General features: G+C 41.8%; 1 protein-coding gene across 5 annotated transcripts in view, besides 4 other annotated features; it reads right to left on the bottom strand.

Annotated features, from left to right (window-relative positions):
* CRACD (capping protein inhibiting regulator of actin dynamics) overlaps window positions 1-10,455 on the bottom strand; it is a 281,512-nt gene extending 271,057 nt beyond the window's left edge. For 4 of the 5 annotated variants that reach the window (XM_047415994.1, NM_001393381.1, NM_001393384.1 and 1 more), the window contains exon 1: window positions 10,254-10,455. The gene's annotated coding sequence lies outside the window, so the exon portion shown is untranslated. Of the gene's footprint in view, window positions 1-9,540; window positions 9,942-10,253 lie in introns of those variants that run through there. The other variant, XM_047415995.1, reaches the window with a different exon arrangement.
* Window positions 1,926-6,130: an enhancer, noted in NCBI's record as "VISTA enhancer hs1651". NCBI's record gives its function as "enhancer in: neural tube[7/7] | hindbrain (rhombencephalon)[7/7] | cranial nerve[7/7]" and the evidence as "EXISTENCE:transgenic organism evidence [ECO:0001131][PMID:17130149]".
* Window positions 9,884-10,559: an enhancer, noted in NCBI's record as "H3K27ac hESC enhancer chr4:56915160-56915835 (GRCh37/hg19 assembly coordinates)". NCBI's record gives its function as "activates a minimal SCP1, AML or CMV promoter by ChIP-STARR-seq in primed H9 embryonic stem cells {active_cell/tissue: H9 hESC(primed)}" and the evidence as "EXISTENCE:reporter gene assay evidence [ECO:0000049][PMID:30033119]".
* Window positions 9,884-10,729: a biological region, named in NCBI's record as "H3K27ac hESC enhancer GRCh37_chr4:56915160-56915835".
* Window positions 10,090-10,729: a silencer, noted in NCBI's record as "silent region_15448". NCBI's record gives its function as "represses an Ori minimal core promoter by ATAC-STARR-seq in GM12878 lymphoblastoid cells {active_cell/tissue: GM12878}" and the evidence as "EXISTENCE:reporter gene assay evidence [ECO:0000049][PMID:35858748]".

The raw sequence follows: 22,495 nt of genomic DNA, 5'->3' as shown, positions 1-22,495 counted from the left end.
GACACGAGAGAAAATGGTTTTATCATGACTGGCTGGGTGGAATGTGGATGGAAATGGAAATTTTCTTTTCTTTTTTTGAGACAAGGTCTAATTCTGTCACGCAGGCTGGAGTTCAGTGGCACAATCTCGGCTCACTGTAGCCTCGAACTTCCAGGCTCAAGCAATCCATACACCTCAGCCTCCTGAGTAGCTGGGACCACAGGTGCACACCACCATGCCCAGCTAATTTGTGGGAGGGAAGTCTTTGTTTTCTGTTTGTTTGTTTGTTTGTTTGTTTTGTAGAGGTGGGGTTTGGTCTTGTTGCCCAGGCCGATCTCAAACTCCTAGGCTCAAGTGATCCACCCACCTCAGCCTCCTGAGTAACTGGGACTACAGACAGGCGCCACCAAGCCTTGCTGGAAATCTTCATTAAACTTCAAAACAAAGGACACAGTTACTTATTTTGCCTGCTTGAAGGTAACCATTCAGAGATTGCTGTCTTGCTTTATTTGTCTGTATCTAGGATCAACCGGGGTTGTTTGTAACAGACAAAAAAAAAGAAAAATGATAATCTGTAAATATTTTTATAAACCAACATTCCTCCAACCTTCACAATGCACAGTGGCCCTTCTCAATGGACAGATTCATAAAGGTTAATTTCTAGTATGGATTATGAAATTAATTGAAGTGTCGGAGGTTCCCTGACAAAATTGTTGTTCACTAGTTGTCACTGGGCCACCGATGACAAATTAAGTGACTTGGGACACTGCATGAGCCAAAAGGAAAGGCTAGTGCAGAAGCTGCATAAAGTAAACATCTTTAAGATGCTAATCACTACAGTCACATCTGAGCTGCCTATGTTGATTAGGAAATACAAATCTCAACTAAAAATAGCAGACAAAAAATTTTGATCATGAAGTTCTCCTCCTTTTTATCTTTGCTAGTTAAAGACCATTATGCTCACAAAACTGACAGGAAGCCTACATTCTGAGGCCATGGCTTTTGCACCAGCCAACCCTGGCCATTCTTTCCAGACTGGAACGTCAGGAGCATCCGTGGTTAAGAAACAGTCACTCACGGTTCGTATGCTTTCTTCAGAACACAGGCAAAAGACCTCCCTTCATCTCAGTTCTCCTCCTTCCAAAAATGATTCAGCCTGAAAGCATTGCTGCTTTGTCCATCAAGGCTCACTCAAAACTATCTGAGGCCAGGTGCGGTGGCTCACACCTGTAATCCTGGCAGTCTGGGAGGCCGAGGCAGGGGATTGCTTGAGCCCAAGGGTTCGAGACCAGCCTAGTCAACATGGTGAAACATCGTCTCTACTAAAAATACAAAAATTAGCCAGGCGTGGTGGCACACAACTATAATCCCAGGTACTCAGGAGGCTGAGGCAGGAGAATCGCTTGAACCTGGGAGGTGGAGGCTGCAGTGAGCCGAGATGGTGCCACTGCACCCCTGGCACGGTGGCTCATGCCTGTAATCCTAGCACTTTGGGAGGCTGAGGTGAGTGGATCACTTGATGTCAGGAGTTCAAGACCAGCCTGGCCAACATGATGAAACCCCGTCTCTACTAAAAAAATACAAAAAATTAGCTGGGCGTGGTAGCGGGCGCCTGTAGTCCCAGCTACTCGGGAGGCTGAGGCAGGGGAATGGCGTGAACCCGGGAGGCGGAGCTTGCAGTGAGCCGAGATCGCGCCACTGCACTCCAGCCTGGGCGACAGAGCGAGACTCCGTCTCAAAAAAAAAAAAAAAAAAAAAACAAAAAAAAAAAAAATACAAAAAATGAGCCAGGTGTGGTGGCGCACACCTGTAATCCCAGCTACTCAGGAGGCTGAGGCAGGAGACTCCCTTGAACCTGGGGACAGAGGTTGCAGTGAGCTGAGACTGTGCCACTGCACTCTAGCCTGAATGACAGAGACTCCGTCTCCCAAAAAAAAAAAAAAAAAAACCCAACCTATCTGAAATCCTCTGGTAATAGGAAGTACATATGAAAGTGCTGACTTAAATGAGCACCATATCTTATTTACCCCTGTCACAACTGTTAATGTCTAATATTTTAATGCAGGACCTCTGACCTACAGAGGAAGGTAAAACTAAGCCTAAACATCTACATTATAAATAAACAAAGCCCTCCACTAGGTGTATGTGTGTACACACACAACTGGCATGGTGAATATACACATACACACACACAACTAGTAAACACCTAACAGGCAATGGCTTAGGCACAGATCTTGCAACATACAATTGCCATGCACTAAATGGTCCTCTTGTGGTTCAGAGTTTCAGTCTTCCTGAGCCCCTAACCTATTAGCAGGGAGAGACTACAGGCAATGGAAAGAATTCAGCTCAGTTACTCACCTCTGAACCTTAGCCTTCTCATCAGTAAAATGAGGGTTGGACTAGACCAGCACTGCCCAACAGAAACATAATGCAAGCCACAAATGTGAGCCAAATATGTAATTTTAAATTTCTTAGTAGATACATTTTAAAAGTAAAAAAATGGTAACATTAATTTTAACAATATTTTATTCAATCCAACATAGTCAAAACTATTACTTCAACGTGTAATCAACATTAAAAAACTATTAATGACATATTTTGCATTCTCTTTTCACACCAAATGTTTCAAATCCAGTATGTTGGTTTTTTAAAAGAAGAAAATAGAAACAGGACTTTTACCTTGTTGCCCAGGCTGGTCTCCAATTCCTGGGCTCAAGGGATCCACCTGCCTCAGCCTCCTAAAGTGTTGGGATTATAGGCATGAGCCACCAGGCCCAGCACTAGTATGTACTTTTTTATTTTATTTTATTTTATTTTATTTTTGAGACAGGCTCATTGTAGCCTCAACCTCCCTAGCTCAAGCAATCCTCCCACCTCAGCCCCAAGTAACTGGGACCACAGACATGTGCCACCACGCCCAGCTAACTTTGGTTTTTCGGGGAGAGGGTGTTTTTTTTGTTTGTTTTTTTTTTGGTTTTTTTTTTATAGAGACAGGGTTTTGCCATGTTGCCCAGCTGGTCTGGAATTCCTGGCCTTGGCCTCCCAAAGGCTGGGATTACAGGTGTGAGCCATAGCACTGGCCCTAGTATGAATTTTAAATTGATAGCACATCTCCATTCGGACTAGCCACATGGGACCAGCAGGACCGTATAGGGCAGCACAGGCCTAGATGATCTCTGATATTTCTCTTAACACTAGAAGTTATTTTAATAAAGGGAATGACAGATTTTCAGATCAAGGTCTACTTAGAAGAAGTATAAAGCATTTTCCTAAATTTCTTAGTCTGTTTACCCTCATTCAAAATGGTGTTTTGCTTTTTTTAAACTTTTTAAACTCAGTGGAATTCGATCTGTAAACAACTAGGTGGTTTGATCTACTGCTTTTAGCATGACTGTTCTCACTGCCACAGTCACTGTCCTACAAACCTCCAGGGAGATTAAGAATACTCAGAACAAAGTATAACTACTGAATGAATGAGACATCTCAAAAATCATAACTTGAAAAGACAACTGTTCAGATGAAAGTTCAACAGAAATGGCAAAGAAAAATATTTGATAACCATGTTATCTTCTATCTATTAAGATAATGCTATAAAAATAATACAAATGTGCACAGGCTTTTGGAATTGTTTCTCTAATTACTCAACATCCATGAGAAAGATTCATGCTGCTGCTCCCACACTGTCTTGCTTATTAATGCCTTTGTGATCAATGATCTGCCTTCACCAGATGGCTGGCCTGGGTTAAGAGTACAATATGCGCTCACAGAACAAAGCAAAGCTAACTGGTCTTCCCAAGAATTGAACCTGTGACCCTGACCTCATTAACTCTAGAAGACAGTTAACCCATCACAAACTTGCATGGCCAGGTGCATCGTAAATAAAGCAGGAAAGCCCACTGCCTCTGTCACAGTGACACTCTGGTGGAGAGAAAGTCATTCTAAATGTATTAAAAACTTTTCAAAATGAAGAAAAATCCTGACTGCAATCATTTAGGGCAGCCTGGAATTCACCAGCAGTGTCTTAACAGCCCTGCTGGATCTGTCACAATCTTCCCTAAGAACATGAGCTGTGGCCCCCACCCGAGACCATAAATGGTATTGGCAATGGGGTTTGGAGTAATGTTTCCTCTTTCACAAATGGTGATCTTGGGACTATGGCCTCTCCTTTTTATTTCTCCCAAGTGAGGAAACAGCCCATTGTTAACAAGGGGTTAACAATTATATACAAGAATTTTCGCTGATTATTCCTTGAATCCGGCTTATCCTAGATTTAAATAATAATCAAGTTTTCAGACAACCTGTTTCCCGCTCCCTGTCTCCTTATCTTCCTTCTTGCCAGCCAATCCCTCCCCAGGTGAGTGGGGTGAGGCCAGTGAGCCTCCAGATAAGATCGTTCTTACCTTCCCTGGTAAAAACAAAATGCCTTTTTAGCAACTTGTCCTTCCTTTTTCTAATTCCTCTTAGCAGCTGCTACCTGCTCTTAAACTCTATTCTAACAACCGTTTCTAGTGGGCTAAATTTACTTCTGATTTAAATATTTTTTAAAGTGTTTCAGGGATGCAGCTTCTGTGTCTTTTCCTCAATTCATATTGAATACAGTACCAGTTTCAAAAGCAAGTTTTTCGACATTTCTTCTCAATCCCCTAAGTACGCCACTTGAAAAACACTGGAAACATCTGAAAGACCTGGTGAAGACTTTAAAAATCTGACTGAAATATTTATGTTTCCATTTCTGACATTTTAAATGGTATCACTTTTTCACATATAAAAGCTTTTACATATGGTTGTTCTATTTGGCTTCTTAAATATGTCTGATAACATGTGACTATAAGGCTGACAACATGTGACTATAAAAACATCTCTTCAGGGTTGTTACTCAGTTTTTTTATTTCCACAAAGTTACTTAATATGTATTTCTTTACTTTAGAGAAGAGTTTATAATCTGGTACTTCTCATATATGTGTGAAAATCATACATCTATGTAAACCTAAAATATGCATATGCATCTGCCTTAAAGCCACCAGAATAAATTAATATCTAAATTGATTTCGTTCTTATCTCTATGAATTTTCACATCAGGATAAAAAGGAGCCACTGAGTGGCGGCTCACGCTTGTAATCCCAGCACTTTGGGAGGCTGAGGCAAGGCAGGTAGATCACTTGAGCCCAAGAGTTCATGACCAGCCTAGGAAACAGAGAGAGACCACATCTCTACAAAAAATAATTAACCAGATGTGGTGGCATGCGCCTATGGTCCCAGCTATTCAGGAGGCTGAGCTAGGAGGATCACTTGAGCCCAGGAGGTAGAGGCTGCAGTGAGCCATGGTTACATCACTGCACTCCAGCCTGGGTGACAGAGCAAGACCCTAGAAATACATAAATAAAAACATAAATGAATAAAAGAATAAACAGGACACAAAATGTAAAGGTAGCCAAGTTTTGTATCTGCCTGAACATACAAATTACAATGACCACCCAATAAGTGGGCCATGTCCTGATGCTCACAAAAACTGTAACAATCCACTAAGGGTCAAGTAGTAGACAGAATTAATAAATACGCATAAAACACAGGCTTGCTGCAACTTTACACAATTTCATTAGCTGCAAAGTATATTTTGAGGGCCAGCCTAAGGATGAAATCTGATGTTCAAAAATAAATGCAATTATATCTATATTTGTTTACATCAAATCTTAATTTAAAAAGACTGATGAACAGAAATATATGGCTACTCAAACCACATAAATAAACCATGAAACTACTGTTCTTTGTCTAACATATCATCATGATCTACACAAATTCAGATTTTTAAATTGTCAGCTTTGAAAACACTAACCTTAATTCAACAAATAAACTGTTTAAATATATGGTTAAAAGTTTAAAGCCTCATGCACACAGGAGTATCCAAAGCTATAATGCAAGAGCAGTGGCATATTTATACATTTTTAGGCACCTGGTAATCATGTTATTTATGAGTTACACTCCTACATATAATAGCAATAATGCAAACCAGACACCATAGGTGTTTTAATGTAGAAGATATAAATGTAAAAAAAAAGTGAAATTTGCCTTTATTATATAAAAGCATCTATTTGTGTATTCTAAGTATTATTTATAAAATATATTTCCTGAAAAACGCCTTAATTCTTCCTGACAATGTGTTTCAAAGAGGGAAGTCCTAGAAATATCAAAATATTAAAATTAAAATACTGCTACAAATACACATAGGAAACGTGTAAAGAACTGAAAAACCAAAAAACAAAAAACGCTAATAGGATACTTGGTGGTGGTTTCTTAAAGTACTTTACAAAGTAAATACTTTTAGCACCTTGTGATTTTAAGACCAATCAATACACTATGAAGTACTCTTTTGTAGCTTGTAAGGCTTCATTTTGTGCCTTAACAAAAGCCGACATTCATTCGTAATGAAGTCTTTTTATAGTTACACAGCTATTTCATGTCTCTTAGGAAGATATATTAAACCTTTGGATGCTCAATAAAAATGACCAATTAATTGACTCTATCACAAAAACCTGAGAAGCTCTTACAAAATATTTACATCAAAGACCAGCTAAAGCCAGAAAGAATTACGTTATGCTTCCTTAACTTCCCTAAGTTGAAAACTGACTTGAAATGAGTCATTTCAAAGGAAACTACAAAAGATGTACCACAATGGGTAAATTCTCAATATCGACATTCAAATTTATGTTAAGGAAGAAATGAAACATCTTCAGAAATCACTATGAGGGAACATCAGAAAACCATGGGGGTTAAGAGGGCAGACAGGCTTTGGGATCAGAGAGAACTCAGTTTGAATCTTTGCTTCATCCCTCTCTAAATTTAGGACCTTGGGCAAGTTAATAAAAAGCTCTCTGAGTCTTAATTTCAATTATCAAATGTAAACACAAGGCCTACTTACAGGGCTGTTGTGAGAACTAAATTAGATAACATATATAAATAGACTACTTAGCACACAGTAACGTGACCATGAGAAATATTCAATAAATGATGGTAATTCCCAAGAAATGTTTAAGAACTTATTTTTAAATGTAATTTAGTATTCAAACTCCAATTGATGTTGTAAACCATTTGAAGAAAAGAAATAAAGATTCAACAACAGCTTTCTTAAATGCACTTAACCTGATTATCCTTAGCATTAGTGCTTTTCAAAGCGTAGTTCCTGACCCATTAATGGGATGTGAAATCATTTAGCGATCTCAACCAACATTTTTTAAATAAAATAGAATAAAAAATATAAGAATGCATTGCACATTCAAAGTCTAAGCATTACTTCATGAATTTTTTAATTACAGATATTTACAATGTATCTGTATACTGGGTGGCAAAGTAAAATGCATCTCTTACTGTGCAAAAATAAAAGTTTAGGCTGGGCGCAGTGGTTCATGCCTGTAATCCTAGTATTTTGGGAGGCCAAGGCAGGAGGATTGCTTGAGACCAGCCTGGGCAACACAGTGAGACCTCACCTCTTTAAAAAAATAAAAATAAAATAAAAAATTAAAAAGTTTAAAAGCCATTGCTTTACATTAAAATAATGAAAATAAAAATTAGCTGACACTGAGTGCTTAGTTTGTACTAAACATTGTGCTATGCCCACATTATTTTATTTGATCCTCACAAAAATGTTCTAAATAGGATTACTTCCCCCATTTTACAGATGAGGAAACTGAGGCTTAGATTAAATCACCTGCCAAGGATGCAGAGCTAGTAGCCAGTAAAGCCAATGCTCAAATTCAATCACCTGCCTCGAGAACTTGTGTATTTAACCACTCCCCTAAGTACTAGGTTGTAAAATATACCTTTTCTTTATGTAAAAGTTATCCAAAAGGTAGACTTTTTCATGGGGTCTAATTCCAGCGTGATTTTCTGGGGGTACAGTGTATCTTGGAGAAGGTTGTGTGATTCAGGGGAGAAAGCTCTGGGCGTGAGATCCAGCTTCTGTCCCTGGCATTGTTGCTTTAGTGGCAAGGAGCTGGCAAGTCATTTAATCTCGCCATGTCTGGATTTCCTCACCTACAAAACGGGAATGATAATATCTGCCCTGCCTCCCCACAGGCCATTGTGAGAAACTATATGCACATACAACAAGTGAAATGTTCTATTGTGCCACTCAGTTACAGGAGATGATTTAAAATGATGAAAAAAACCACCCAAGAGACCCCATTCTTGGAAGAAACACACATCAACTATGACTGAAAAAGGAGGTCACCAAGCTTTCATCAACTGTATGTGGAAAACCTCTACACAGTTGTTGGCACACAGTAGGCCTTCAGTAAATGTTCGTTGAATAAAAAGTAAACAAATTCCATCTGTACACGTTTTATCCACTTGTATTTTTTTCACCTATTCATTCTTTCTTTCCATGACTACATACTGAACACCTACTGTGTGCCAGATCAGAAATACAGACCACAAAAAAAGACTAAAAGATTGTCCCTTTCCCTGGAGAATTTCAAATTAATGCCAATTAATTGGTCTGAAATTGGGTAAGAGAAAAACTGTAAAACACAGCTTCCTCATCTAGCGATAATAATAACTTACATTTATTATAGTGCTTTGTAGTTTATGAAGAACTATGAACTATTACCAAGAGCTAGCTTTTGTTTCTCACACCAATTGCCTATTGTCAAGTTGGTGTTAGCTTCCTCCTCCAAATTCAGTGGTCGGTAAGTACTGCTAAGTCTTTAGAGTGAAAGTTTCTCAATGTGTTAGAGATGACTGTAAAATTAAGCTTTTGAATACAATGCATTTTAAATAATCAACAGTGGAAAGGGCGATCCAGTAACATGATTTTTTCCCTGCCCACTTCTGAGTTGAAGTGATCTGTAATGCAACCATATTATATTTTTCAAAATGTTTCTTTTTCAAAGCTGCCTTTGAAATTTTTTTTCATATAGGCAATTTTCTCTTGAATATACTGAACAAGGATTCCCTTTTCCCAAAGGATAAAGGAGACAGTAGTGAAGGAGTCTTCTCTTTGTTGACTTTTTAAAAATTACTCAAAACTGACTGTTTTATTCAGATTCCTGAGTCACAAACAATGCCAAAGAACTGTGAGCCATTTTTTATATAATTCCACAATTACTATAGGTGATTTTTAAAGGAAACATTGATTTAACTCACAACTTAATGAATCAAAAATTTGCCACAGGATATTTACTAAGAATCTTTTTCTAAAACTGCCTTATCCTTTGTATTCTAACCACTCCCTCTCCACCACCACCACTTACCACCCCCAATACACACACACACACACACACACACACACACACACACACACACTCCCTCACCTACACCAGATCAGTTTCCCAGCCATTATTCCTAAAACCATATTAAAATTTCACAACACATGGTCGTACTTACTAGGTTTTCTTCCCCCTCCCCCTCCACTGAATCAATGTGTCTTGAAATATATATTCTCTTAAAATTCAGAATTCAGAAAATGATTACGATGTCTCTAACTCAAGAACACATATTATAAAATTCAAAGTCGGCTTCTGTTTACTGATAATCATGAAAAAAAAAAAGCCATACCCCACCCACCGTATCCGTAGGGTTAGGAGGTCCAATCTCGCCACTACAGAGCTCTGCAAGAAAGGACGGTTATAGTGCCAGGAAAACCATCGCAACAAGCCCCGGGCGAAGATAAAGAAAACAGATTTTACACCACGGGCAGCGCGCAGTCTCCTGGCCCCGGCCCTTGGTAAACAGGGGAAACCTTTGTCTTGCCTCAGCTATCAAACTGGTGGCTCATCAGAATTGGGGCAACAAGAGTTTGTGCGAAACGGTCTGGCAGAGGTTAAACAAAGCAATGCAGCTCCGGGGGCGGTGGGGAGAGGGCTGAGCCCGGACGGCGTCCGCGATCCCGGACGGTGAGGTCTGGTTCTGGCCCTTGCCGCGGTCGGGACCGAGCCAGGGACCTGGGGACAGGATGGCGAGGCGCGGGAAGAGGAGAAGGCAGGCGAGGTCCCATATTCTCCGCAAGTTCCCGGGGTGCAGCCCGGCGGCAGGTTCCCCTGCGGGGATCCAAAGCGCGCAAGCCGCGCGCAGGTTCCTCCGGGAGGGTCCGCGCCTCCCACATGGGGACACCGCCCCGAAGCCCACCGCCCGCCGCGCCGAGCCCACGCCCCCGGGGCCAGGTCCCCTGGAGTCCCGGGGCGCTGCGGGGGCCCGGCCCGGAGGGGCGCGAGTGGAGGAGAGAAGCCCGCCCCTGTCCCCATTGTCTGGCTCCGGCCGCGGGCCGAGCAGGCGCTCACCTGAGGTCCCCGCCTGGCGCTCCGGCTGGCAGAGCGGCTGGCCGGCGACCGGCGGTCCCGGGCGGGCGGCGGACTCGGCGGCACTGCGCGCGGCAGCCTCCGCATCAGCAGCCGCCGCGGCAGCAGCACCAGCAGCGCACCCGCCTCTCAGTCGGCCGTGGCCTCCATTGCTCTCCCCACTGCCGCCACCGCGCGGCACTGCGCGCCCGGCCCCGCGCGGCGTGGTCACATGCTCCGCCGGCGCCTCGGGCGCTCGGACCCGCGCCGCCGCCCCGCCCGGCTTCGCCCAGGGACAGCTGAGCGTGAGGCGCCGGCTTCCTTCTCGCGCCCTCCGGGAGTGGCGCACACCAGATGGCTCCCCTCCCCAGGGGTGCCCAGAAACCAGGAGCGGGCCCCAAGGAGGGGCGTGGGGTTGACCAGTGCCCTCCCGGCTTCTGCAAAGCCTGACTCGAGGGAGTGCTGAACTCGTGGGGTCTGAGGTTACAGTGGTGGGCTCACAGCGAGGCTCATCCTGCGTGTGGCGAGAACATTGGACCATCAGTCACCACCCCACAGGTTGCAAATTCGGTCCCTGTTACCCGCAGCAGTCTCTCTAATAGGAGATACCGGGAGCCCAGGAGAAGTTTCGCCCTGCAGAGTCCCAACCACAATAAATGGCACTGGGACTCCTGAGAGTTGAGTAAGTTGGAAAATGCCACCTAGAAATAGAAAGGCTAGAAATTGCATTGCTGAGTCCCTGTACATCCGAACGGAGTGACATTGACAATGTGCATTATTGTCCCCAGCCATAATGAAATTAAATATTGATTTTGATGCTTTAAGGAAAATGACTTCTCCTTTTGTGGGCTAACGAAGAAAACAAGACTTTTCCTTCATACTTTTTGTTGTGACTATGCCAGTGCAACTACTGGAAATCAGTTTCTGGTGATCTTTTTAGTTTACTATGTATGCAAGGATGCTAAAAATAATTGAATATCATTATTAAACAGGAAATTTTAAAGCAAAATGACTAGACAAAAGATGCAAAATACGAAAGATAGCCCTAAATTATACCCAGTATTGAGCCAGATGTCCCAAATGCCAAAAATAGGACTAGTAATTTCTTTTCTTTTTTTTTTTTTTTTTTTTTTGAGACGGAGTTTCTTGTTGCCCAGGCTGGAGTGCAGTGGCGCGATCTCAGCTCACTGCAACCTCCAACTCCCGGGTTCAGGCGATTTTCTTGCCACAGTCTCCCTCTGAGTAGCTGGGATTACAGGCGCCCGCCACCACACCCAGCTAATTTTTGTTTTTATTTTTAGTAGAGACGAGGTTTCACCTTATTGGCCAAGGACTAGTAATTTCACTGCATGACTTAAAGGAGCAACCTTGAGACTGGGAGAATCTAGTGCATGTTACCTTATCCAACTGGTTTATTCTAGATAAACATTTAAGTTAAATATCAGTATAATATATGGCTTTGTATTTTCGTGAATATAGATACTTAGTTCAGTGTGCACATATCCTAAACTATGTCTGCTTTATTCCAAATTAGAATAATGCAGAGTTTTAGAAAGGGTTGAGCAAATTTCTTTTGATTTGAGTTTAGTAGCGTTAGAAGTTCCCAGAAGCCGGCCGGGCGCGGTGGCTCATGCCTGTAATCCCAGCACTTTGGGAGGCCGAGGCAGGCGGATCACCTGAGATCGGGAGTTCAAGAACAGCCTGGCCAACTTGGCGAAACCCCGTCTCTACTAAAAATACAAAAATTAGCCAGGCGTAGTGGCGCATCCCTGTAATCCCAGCTACTCGGGAAGCTGAGGCAGGAGAATCGCTTGAACCCGGGACGCGGAGGTTGCAGTGAGCTGAGATTGCGCCATTGCACTCCAGCCTGGACAACAAGAGAGAAACTCCATCTCAAAAAAAAAAAAAAAAAGAAGTTCCCAGAAGCCAAAAATCAAATCTATGCAGAACATATAGCTGAGATCTTGTTCTTGATATATATTATAGTCTTGCCAACTACATGAAAACACAAACAAATGTCCATATAAAAATTCAAATGTTCATAAGTCAAACGTAGGTCTACTATCTTTTCACTTTGTAGGACAAGGCACCCCAATTCATATACACCCAAAAAATATCGCCGGAGTTCTGGAGAAATGATGCTCATATTGGACCATTCTAACAACTAGACTTAGTGTCTCATGGGCCTCAGAAATCGGAATCCATCAGGCACCACTTTTGACAGGTGCTGTTTTTTTCCCTCACTTTTCAAATACATTGGTTCATAGCAACTATATCCAGGGCTATAACAAGATTGCATGGCACCCTAACCCCAAGTATCAGTCTACTATTCCACGTTTTCGATAGCTAACTGCCTACCAGTGGAAACATTTTTCAGAGGCCATAATACAAAAAAAAAAAAAAAAAAAAAAAAAAAAAGATGCAGAACATCTAGAATTTTTTTTAACACTTAACCATTTAACTGCTGTGTGAGAGGTTATAGAAAATATGTGGGAAATAAATTTCGTAGTTAGACCAGTAGTTTCAGCTGTAGGGATACTTGCACTGTAGGAGACATTTGGCAGTGTCTTGGGCACATTTTTGGTGGTCTACACTGGGGATGGCAGGTGCTGCTACTGGGCATCTACTGGGTAGAAGCCAGAGATGCTGCTAAGAATCTTACAATGCTCAGAACAGCCCCCACAACCAAGAATTATCCAGCCCCAAATGACAATAGTGCTAAGGTTAAGAAACGCTGAGTTAGACCAAGGATTTCCAAAGCCTCTCCATTCTATAATCCACCATGTCTGTGTATCATCCCTTTCCATGACTTTCTGTCCCTCAGCATGAGTCCACTGGATAATTCAATTAACTTCAGATATTTCCTTAAATTTGTAAAATGGGAATAACTGTTCTAGTTCCCATATCTTTTAAATTACCATTATTATTGTGTCTGAAAATTAAGTAATGGAAAAATATAATCGGCAAATACTAACAGAAGAAAACATGGAGACAACTGCAAATCTACATGCAAAATAATCAATTTGGACCCCTATCTCTCTATATAGTTAACTCAAATGGATCATAGATCTAAAGGTAAGAGCTAAAACTATAAAACTCTTAGAAGAAAACAAAGGCATAAATCATGTCCTTAGGTTAGACAATGATTTCTAAGATATGACATCAAAAACACAAGCAATGCAAGAGAAAAATAAACAATATCAAAATTTATAACTTTTATGTTACACATGATATCATCAAGTGAGTGAAACTATGATGCAAGGAATTGGACAATACATTTACAAATCATACAATGTATCTAACAAGGGACTTGTATACAGAATACATAAAGTACTCATAACACTCAATAATAAAAAGACAACCCAATTTTATGATGGGCAAAGGATTTGAATGGACATTTCTCCAATGAAAATACACAAATGACCAATGAGCAAATGAAAAGATGCTTAACATCATTAACCATTGGGGAACTGCAAATCAAAATCACACCTAGGGTGGCCATAATAAAAAAGACAGATAATCACAAGGGTTGGTGAGGACATACAGAAATTGGAAACTTCATATATTCTGATGGTAGAATAACCAATGACCCAGCAATTCTACTCCTAGAAAAATACCCGAGAGAAATGAAAACATATCCACACAAAAACGTATACATGAGTGTTTATAACAGCATTATTTAGAATGGCCAAAAGTGGTAACAACTCAAATGTCCATCAACTGATGAATGTATTAAACAAAATGTGGATATCCATACAGTGGAATATTATTTTGCAATAGAAAGGAATGAAGTACTGATAGATATATGCTACATGTATGAACCTTGCATGCAACATGGATGAACCTTGAAAACATTATTCTAAGTGAAAGAAACCAGACTCAAAAGACCACATGTGATATGATTTCATTTGTATCAATGTCCAGACAGTCAAATTTATGGAGATAGCAGTAGATTATGATTGTAGGGAGGAGGAGTTGGGGGAAAATGGAGAGTGACTGTTAATGGATATGGTGGGTATAGGGTTTCTTTTTTTTTTTTTTTTTGAGATGCAGTCTTGCTCTGTCATCCAGGTTGGAGTGCAGTTGTGTCATCTTGGCTCATTACAACCTCTGCCTCCTGGGCTCAAGTGATCCTCCCACCTCAGCCTCCAAGTATCTGGGACTGCAGGCACATGCCACCACACCCAGCTAATTTTTTAATTTTTTTGTAGAGATGGGGTTTCTCTGTGTTGCCCAGGCTTGTCTTGAAATCCTGGTCTCAAGTGATCCACCCGCCTCGGCCTCCCAAAGTGCTGGGACTACAGGCGTGTGCCACTGCGCCCTGCCAGTGTGGGGTTTCTTTTGGTGATGATGAAAATGTTCTAAAATTGCAATAACAGCTGCACAATTCTGTAAATATACTGAGTCATCCAATCATGTAATTTAAGTGGGTGAATTTTATGGCATGTAAATTATATCTCAACAAAGTTGTTACAAAATAGATGACAGCATAAGTTGCAATATTAGTGTCTGATAAAAGAGATTTCAGGGTAAAAAGTATAAGTGCTAAAAGGTGCAAGCCAACAAAAAATATGTAACAGTCCTGAAATGTATGTATCTAACAACAGAACTTTTAAATTACTGACAGAGTGAAGAATAAATGAATAAAAATAAAATTCTTGCTTTAATTAAAATTCCTTAAACGGTGAACAGTAAAATAAAATTATTGCTTTAATTAAAATTCCTTAAATAGTAAAAAAAAGTTAATAAAATTCTTGCTTTAATAAACTACAGATAGTTCCCAACTTAGGATGATTTGGCTTATGTTGTTTCAACTTTATGATGCTATGAAACCATTCTGTTTTTCACTTTCAGTATAGTATTCAATAAACTTCATGAGATAGCCAACACTTTATTATAAAATGGGTTTGTGTTAGATGATTTTGTCCAACTCATATGAGTGTTCTGAGGATGTTTAAGGTAGGCTACACTAAGCTATATTGTTTAGTAGGCTAAAGGTATTAAATGCATTTTCAACTTAGGGATATTTTCAACTTACAATGGGTGTACCAGGACATAATCCCATCATAAGTCAAGAAACATACTATATTTAAGGCAAAAACTGAAATAAAAGGAAAAGCAAACAACTCTGCCCTCACCATGAGAGGAATTTTAATTTTTCTTGGAATTAACTTATCAAGTAGACAAAGATAGTTATCCAGAGAATTCACAAACTTGATATCTTTTAGCTCTGTAGTCCCAGCTACTCCAGAGACTGAGGGGGGAGGATCCCATGAGCCCAGGAGTTTGAGGCTGCAGTGAGCTATGATCACACTTCAGCCTGGGCAACCAAGCGGGATCCTGTCTCCAAAAAAAAAAAAAAACAAAAAACAAAAAACAAAACGAAAAGATAAGAAGTGCATACCCAACAAACAAAAAATATGCATTTTGCACAAAAGTTTTTGGAATGATCACAAAAGTTAAGCAAGTTTTAAGCCAAAACATAACAAATTTCAAAAAGCAAAATCCATACAGGCCACATTCCTTAATCGAAATTCAATAAATTAGAAATTTGTAACAAAATCCTATCTACTTAAAAACTTTAAAACTTCCTTTTAAATAAATAACTTTTTTTGTTAAAAATAGGGTGAATATACTTTCCAGTTCACCTAGGAGAGCCTGAGTTAGCACTTATTTTCCTGACATAACACATATACTGTCATGCACTGCAAAATGACATTTTAGCCAATGAAGAACTGTATATAAAACAGTGGTCCCATAAGATTACAATACTGTATTTTTACTGTGTCTTTTCTATGTTTAGATACACAAATACCATTATATTATAATTGCCTACAGTATTCTGTACAGTAATATGCTGTATAGGTTTGTAACCTAGGAGCAATAGGCTATACCATATACCTACCCTAGGTGTGTAGTAGGCACCACCTAGGTTTGTGTAAGTACACTCTGTGATGGTCACACATGATGAAATCTCCTAATGGCAAATTTCTCAGAACAACACGTTTCCTGTAGGTAAGTGATGCAAAACTGTATTTTGCTCTCCAAAGTGTCCCAATTTGGATGATAAGTTACACGGTGACCCCAATAAAGAATTATCCAGAACTGAAGTTGGAATCTACTTAGAAAGTAATGTCAAAAACTAATGACCAAAAAAATCCTGTGGGAGTACAGTCCAAGAGGTTCTCAGAGGAAATTTTGTAGCCTTTAATGCATAAATTAGAAAACAAGATTAAAAATAAACTGAACATATAACTCAAGAATGTGAACAAATGAAAAAGAAAGCAGAAGTAAGGAAGGAATGAAAGCAGAAGTTAATGAAATAGAAAACAAATCAAACAGTAGATTTTACCAACAAAATTAAAAGTTGATTCTTAGGAAAAAACAAAACAAAAAACATGGCCAGGTGCAGTGGCTCATGCCTGTAATCCCAACACTTTGGGAGGTTGAGGAGGGAGGATTGCTTGAGCCCAGGAGTTTGAGGCCAGTCTGGGCAACATAGTGAGACCCTGTCTCTACCAAAAATTAAAAAAAAAATAGCCAAGTGTGGCGGCACACACCTGTAGTCCCAGCTACTGGGGAGGCTGAGGTGGGAGGATCACTTGAGCCCCGAAGTTCAAGGCTGCAGGAACTATAATCAAGCCACTGCACTCCAGTCTGGGCAATAGCAAGACCAAAAAAGAAAGAAAGAGGGAAAGGGGGAGGAAGGGAGGGAGGGAGGAGGAGGAGGGGAAAGAAAGAGAGAGAGAGAGAGAGAGAGAGAAAGGGAAGAAAGGAGAGAAGGAAGGAAGGGAGGGAGGGATGGAAGAAGAAAGGAAGGAAGGAGGGAGGGAGGGAAGGAAGGAAGGAGGGAGGGAGGGAAGGAAGGAAGGAGGGAAAGGAGGGAGGGAAGGAAAGAAAGAGAGAAAGAAAAAGAAAGGAAGAAAAGGAACGAAGAAAGGAAAGAAAGAAAAGGAAAGGAAGGGAAGAAAGGTGACTTATTTCTGATCTATCAGTCAAGAGATACAAGAAATAACTCACAAGAAAAAGACAACTAAGGTATGGATGACCTTTTAAAAAGGTAGATAAGATAGAAGATTTTCCAAAAAAAAATTAATTACCAGGCTGACTTAAGGAGGGGGAGAACATCTAATTTGTAGAAGAAATTGAAAAGGTAGTCAGATAGTTTCCTCTAAAAAAGACACCTACCCAGGTGATTTTATGAGCCAGTTCCATGTAATGCAAAGAATTCCAGAATATGGGAAGAGAAGGTTTTACCATTTGTTCTTGGAAGCCAGGATACTATGACATCAAAGCCAGACCATGCTGCTTGCACTCAACGGGAAACTGTAGGTCAGTCCCACTTCTGAGCATAGATTTTAAAATCTCAGTAAAGTACTAGAAAATAAAAACCAGTAGTGCATTAAAAATAATATTATAGTTCAGGCAATGGATAGTGGTGATAGTTGTATAATATTGTGAATGTACTCAATGCCACAGAATAGTCACTTAAAAATTGTTAAAATGGTAAATTTCATGTATATTTTACCAAAATAAAAAATTTAACATTTTGGGTGGAAAATTTCTTTGCTAATCCTCTTGTTTCTGCATATCTTTTGAGCAAAGGCTCTGGCAGTTTTTCCTAGACTGTCTTTTCCAGGATATTTGTACAGCAAACAGTTTTAGGAAAAAGAGATAATGTCATCCCCAAGCAGGGAGAAGGTTTGTTTGCTGTCTCCTCCCAGGGTAAAGTTGGGGCAGGTTTGCCTGCAGCCCCTTGTAGAAAGAAGGCTGAGTTTTCCTAAGTTCCAGTTCTTTAGCTTGTGATGTAAACTCATTACATGGGCAGCATTCATCTAGGCTGACTTGTATTGTCCCTGTGGGATCTGGGGACATGAGGAACTGGTGCAAAACTCATGCTACCTGCTGTGCAGTAGCAAGGAACTTTGTCTCTGACGCAGAAATCTTGTGTCTTCTGCTAGCATTCAGGAAACTGTGCATTCAGGAAACTACCTTGCTAGTTTGCAAGCAGGGTAGAATCTCAGATAGTTCTTTACCATTTGGGCAACAAGGATAGGCTGCTGACAGAGCACTTGCTACTGAGAAGAGAAAGGATAAGGTCAGGGGATGTGGGAAGATTGTGCAGGATCTGGTAGTGAGTGCTATTGCCCAAGCGTTGGGTGAGGGGGAAGAAATAGGAATCCCCGACTGTCCTACCTGTTAATGAATATTTAGAGGTTGAGCAATGAGAGGAAGGATTGAAACAAGCTGCCTCATGGTGCTGTCCTCCTCAGACAGGGTAAGGAGGGGATGTTATCATGACAATGGGTGGCAAGCCCTGTGGCTCCAGTCAAAAGACAATATGGCTGTGTCAAGGGGTTTCCAAAGTGGAAATAAATGGTGACAACAGTAAGGATATGAAATTTGGGGTTTGTTTGGTTGAGTCTGGACCATTAACCATTGCCAGCCACTTGAAATTAAAAGTAAACACAAGCTGGACATGGTGGCTCACACCTGTAATCCAAACACTTTGAGAGGCCGAGGTGAGTGGATCCCTTGAGCCCTGGAATTCGAGACCATCCTGGGCAACAGGGCAAAACCCCATCTCTTCAAATAATAATAATAATAATAATAATACACAAATTAGCTGGGTGTGGTAGCATGCATCTGTAGCCCCAACTACTTGGGAGCCCGAGATGGGACGATCGCTTGAGCCTGGGAGGTTGGGGTTGCAGTGAGCCAAGATCACACCACTCACTGCATTCCAGCCTGGGAGACAGAGTGAGACCTTGTCTCAAAAAAAAAGTAAACACAAAGCTTTGCTTACCAGGGAGGAGCTACCTTCTCCCACTGCGCCAGAAAATCTCTCCCTCCTTCTCATTCCTGAGTTTAGGAAAGTCCTGCTACTTTAAGGAACCAAATGATTGGGTCTATGTCTCCCTGTACCCAAGGAGGGCATACACACCGTATGAATATACTGAGGTACTTCAAGGAGGGGAGAGACTCACATTTCTCTGGCTCTTTTGGATTCAGGCAACCAAGTTGCCATCCTACCGTGTCCAGTGGTACTCAGATTTAACTCATGGGATGTGGGTAGGGTTTGAGGTGGGGTAAGGGAGCTAATGTGACCTTATGGGGAGGACCTTTTGGATTAATTCATTGTACTGTTGTTGCTTGTACATCTGAACATATAGTAGGAATTGATGTGTTATATTTCACATCCCGTAAGTGCCAGAGAGGGTTTCCCGAGCAGGGAAGAGATAAAGCAGAGATGTGCTAGTGAGACAAACTCCCTGCCATTTGTAGCCAGCATGTGATCATGAGTGCCTCTACCCTCTGATTTAAATTTTTTTCCATATAGATGATGTCCTGTTGGTTGGCAAGTCAGAAGCCTCAGTCTCAGGCCAGGTGCAGCTCACACCTGTAATCCCAGCACTTTGGGAGCCTGAGGTGGGAGAATCACTTGAGGCCAGGAGTTTGAGACCAGCCTGGGCAACATAACGAGACCTCATCTCAATAAAAATATGTAAAAAATTAACCAGGCATGGTGGTATGAGCCTGTAGTCTTAGCTACTCAGGAGGCTGAAGCGGGAGGATTGCTTAAGCTCAGGAGTTCGAGGCTGCACTGAGCTATGATTGGGCTCCAACGTGTGCAACAGAGTGAGACCCTCTTTTTTTGAGACAGAGTATTGCTTTGTTGCACACAGTGGAGTGCAATGACAGAGTCTTGGCTCACTGCAACCTCCACTCCTAGGTTCAAGCAATTCTTGTGCCTCAGTCTCCCGAGCAGCTGGGACCACAGGCGCACACCACCATGCCTGGCTAATTTTTGTATTTTTTAGTAGAGACAGGGTTTTACCATTTTGGTCAGGCTGGTCTCGAACCCTTGATCTCAAGTGATCTGCCCTCCCTGGCCTTTCAAAGTGCTGGGATTACAGGAGTGAGCCACTGTGCCCAGCTAAGACCCTGTCTCTTAAAAAAATAAAATAAAATAAGCCTGTCTCAGTGCCCCTGGCTGGGGTGTTGCCATACCTACACCAGCAGAAGTGGCTGGTAAACCCCAACAATATTCAGAGGGTTGCTTGCCTAGTTAAGTTTCTTGGGATAATGTAGGCAGAATCATGATGCCTCTGACACCCAGGTAACAGTATTGGGGAGACCTTTATCTCTGGGCCCCCAACACCAAAAAGGAGGCTGAGCTCCCTATTGGACTTTGTTGGAGACAGTATGTGTCTCACTTGGGCATTCTATTTGGTCCTTTATATGAGCTAACCCACAAATCAGCATTTTTTGAGCAGGGCCCAAACCAGTAGCAATGAATGCTCTCTTTGTCCCCTAGATCCTACATTGCAGTCTGGCGACAAATCATATGGTCTGCCTGAGGCAAGAAACTGCAGTGGCTGGCAATCTGACCTGCTGCCGTATCTGTCATCCCTGTCCACGTGCTATGAAAACAAACTCGTGGGTGTGGCTGCTCTTGAACCATTTTGCTGTACCTATTGCTGTCAATGGCAGCCCCCAAACATGGACTCCACCTTGTCCATGCACAGACACACAGACTAGCACAGCGTTTTTTCAATCTGGTGGATACAAATTCATATGCATCTCCTCCTCTCTGCTGAGCAGCTTTGGGTGGTGCCATGTGTGACTATCAAGGCTGCAACTACTCAGTGACATAGTCCATGTGTCTTTGTCTTTTTTTTTTTTTTTGAGATGGAGTTTCACTCTTGTCACCCTGGCTGGAATGCAGTGACGCGACCTTGGCTCACTGCAACCTCTGCCTCCTGGTTCAAGCGATTCTCCTGCCTCAGCCTCCTGAGTAGCTGGAATGAGAAGTGTGCACCACCATGCCTGGCTAATTTTTGTATTTTTAGTAGAGATGGGGTTTCACCATATTGGTCAGGTTGGTCTCGAACCCCTGATCTCAGGTGATCCAACTGCCTTGGCCTCCCAAAGTGCTGGGATTACAGGTGTGAGCCACCACACCTGGATAGTCCATGTGTCTTAACCAGCCCATGATCCACAAAACCCAAACTGGAGTGACTGGGGACCTTTTGGGTTATACGTTTGTACATGGGGGAGACGGAGCCATGGACTCTCTCCACTGTGGATGAGTGCTGCTTTCTGGCTCATCTATTGTCTGCTTGTCAATGGCATCCAAGATTCTCAGATCAGTCTAAACTGCATGCGTCATGACGGGTAACAGATTGGCTTTAGGCTACGTTCTGGATGAATAAAATAACACCCTCTGCTCTCACCATGGTAGGTATTCACAGTTGGCTATGTCTAGACTCCTGGGAGGCATGAATGAGGCTAATACTGCTAGCTGGCCTCTTCCTGCTGCTTGGATTCCTATTGATATTCACCTTAATTAAATATTATATGAGACAAATTGAACAGGTTTGGTCCTAGCCTGTTGTTTGGATTAAATAGGTGTTGAAGTCTTATCCTTGATGCTGAAGGTGTAGCCAGGTGGGAGGTGATTGGCTCATGGGGGCAAAGTTGTCATGAATGGTTTAGCACCATTTACCCTTTGGTTCTGTATATTGAGTGAATTCTCATGAGATCTGGCTGTTTAAAAGTGTGTAGCACCTCTCTGCTCTCTCTGTCCTGCTCCTGCCATGTAAGGGGCCTGTTCCCGCTTTGCCTTCCACCATGAGTAAAAGCTTCCTGAAGCTTCCTCAGAAGCAGATGCCAGTGCCATGCTTCCTGTACAGCCAGCAGAACTGTGGCCAATCAAACCTCTTTTCTTCACAGATTACCCCCTCAGGGATTTCTTTATAGCAGTGTGAGAACAGACTAATACAATGGTGGTACGATTTACTTAGCTGTTTACTGTGACTTTGGGTTAAGTGGAGATATTGAATAGGTGCTGATATGGTTTTGCTGTGTCCCCCACTCAAATCTTCTTTCGAATTGTAATCCCCATGTATGGAGGGAGGGACCTGGTGGAGGTGATTGGATCATGAGGGCAGATTTCCCCCTTGCTGTTCTCATAATGGTGAGTTCTCACAAGCTGATGGTTTGAGTGTGTGGTACTGCCCTCTTTGTGCTTGTGCTCTCTCTCTCTCTCTCTGCTGCCACCATGTGAGATGTGCCTTGCTTCCCCTTCACCTTCCGCCATGATTGTAAGTTTCCTGAGGCCTCCCCAGCCATGTGGAACTGCGAGTCAATTAAACCTCCTTTCTTTATAAACTACCCAGTCTTAGGTAGTATCTTTATAGCAATGTGAGAAACAGCTAATGCAGGTACTTAGATATATGTGC

The sequence above is a fragment of the Homo sapiens genome, chromosome 4, assembly GCF_000001405.40.
Source record: "Homo sapiens chromosome 4, GRCh38.p14 Primary Assembly".
NCBI lineage: Eukaryota > Metazoa > Chordata > Mammalia > Primates > Hominidae > Homo > Homo sapiens.
The sequence above is the reverse complement of the archived record's forward strand: the minus strand, read 5'-3'. Positions and strand labels throughout refer to the sequence as shown.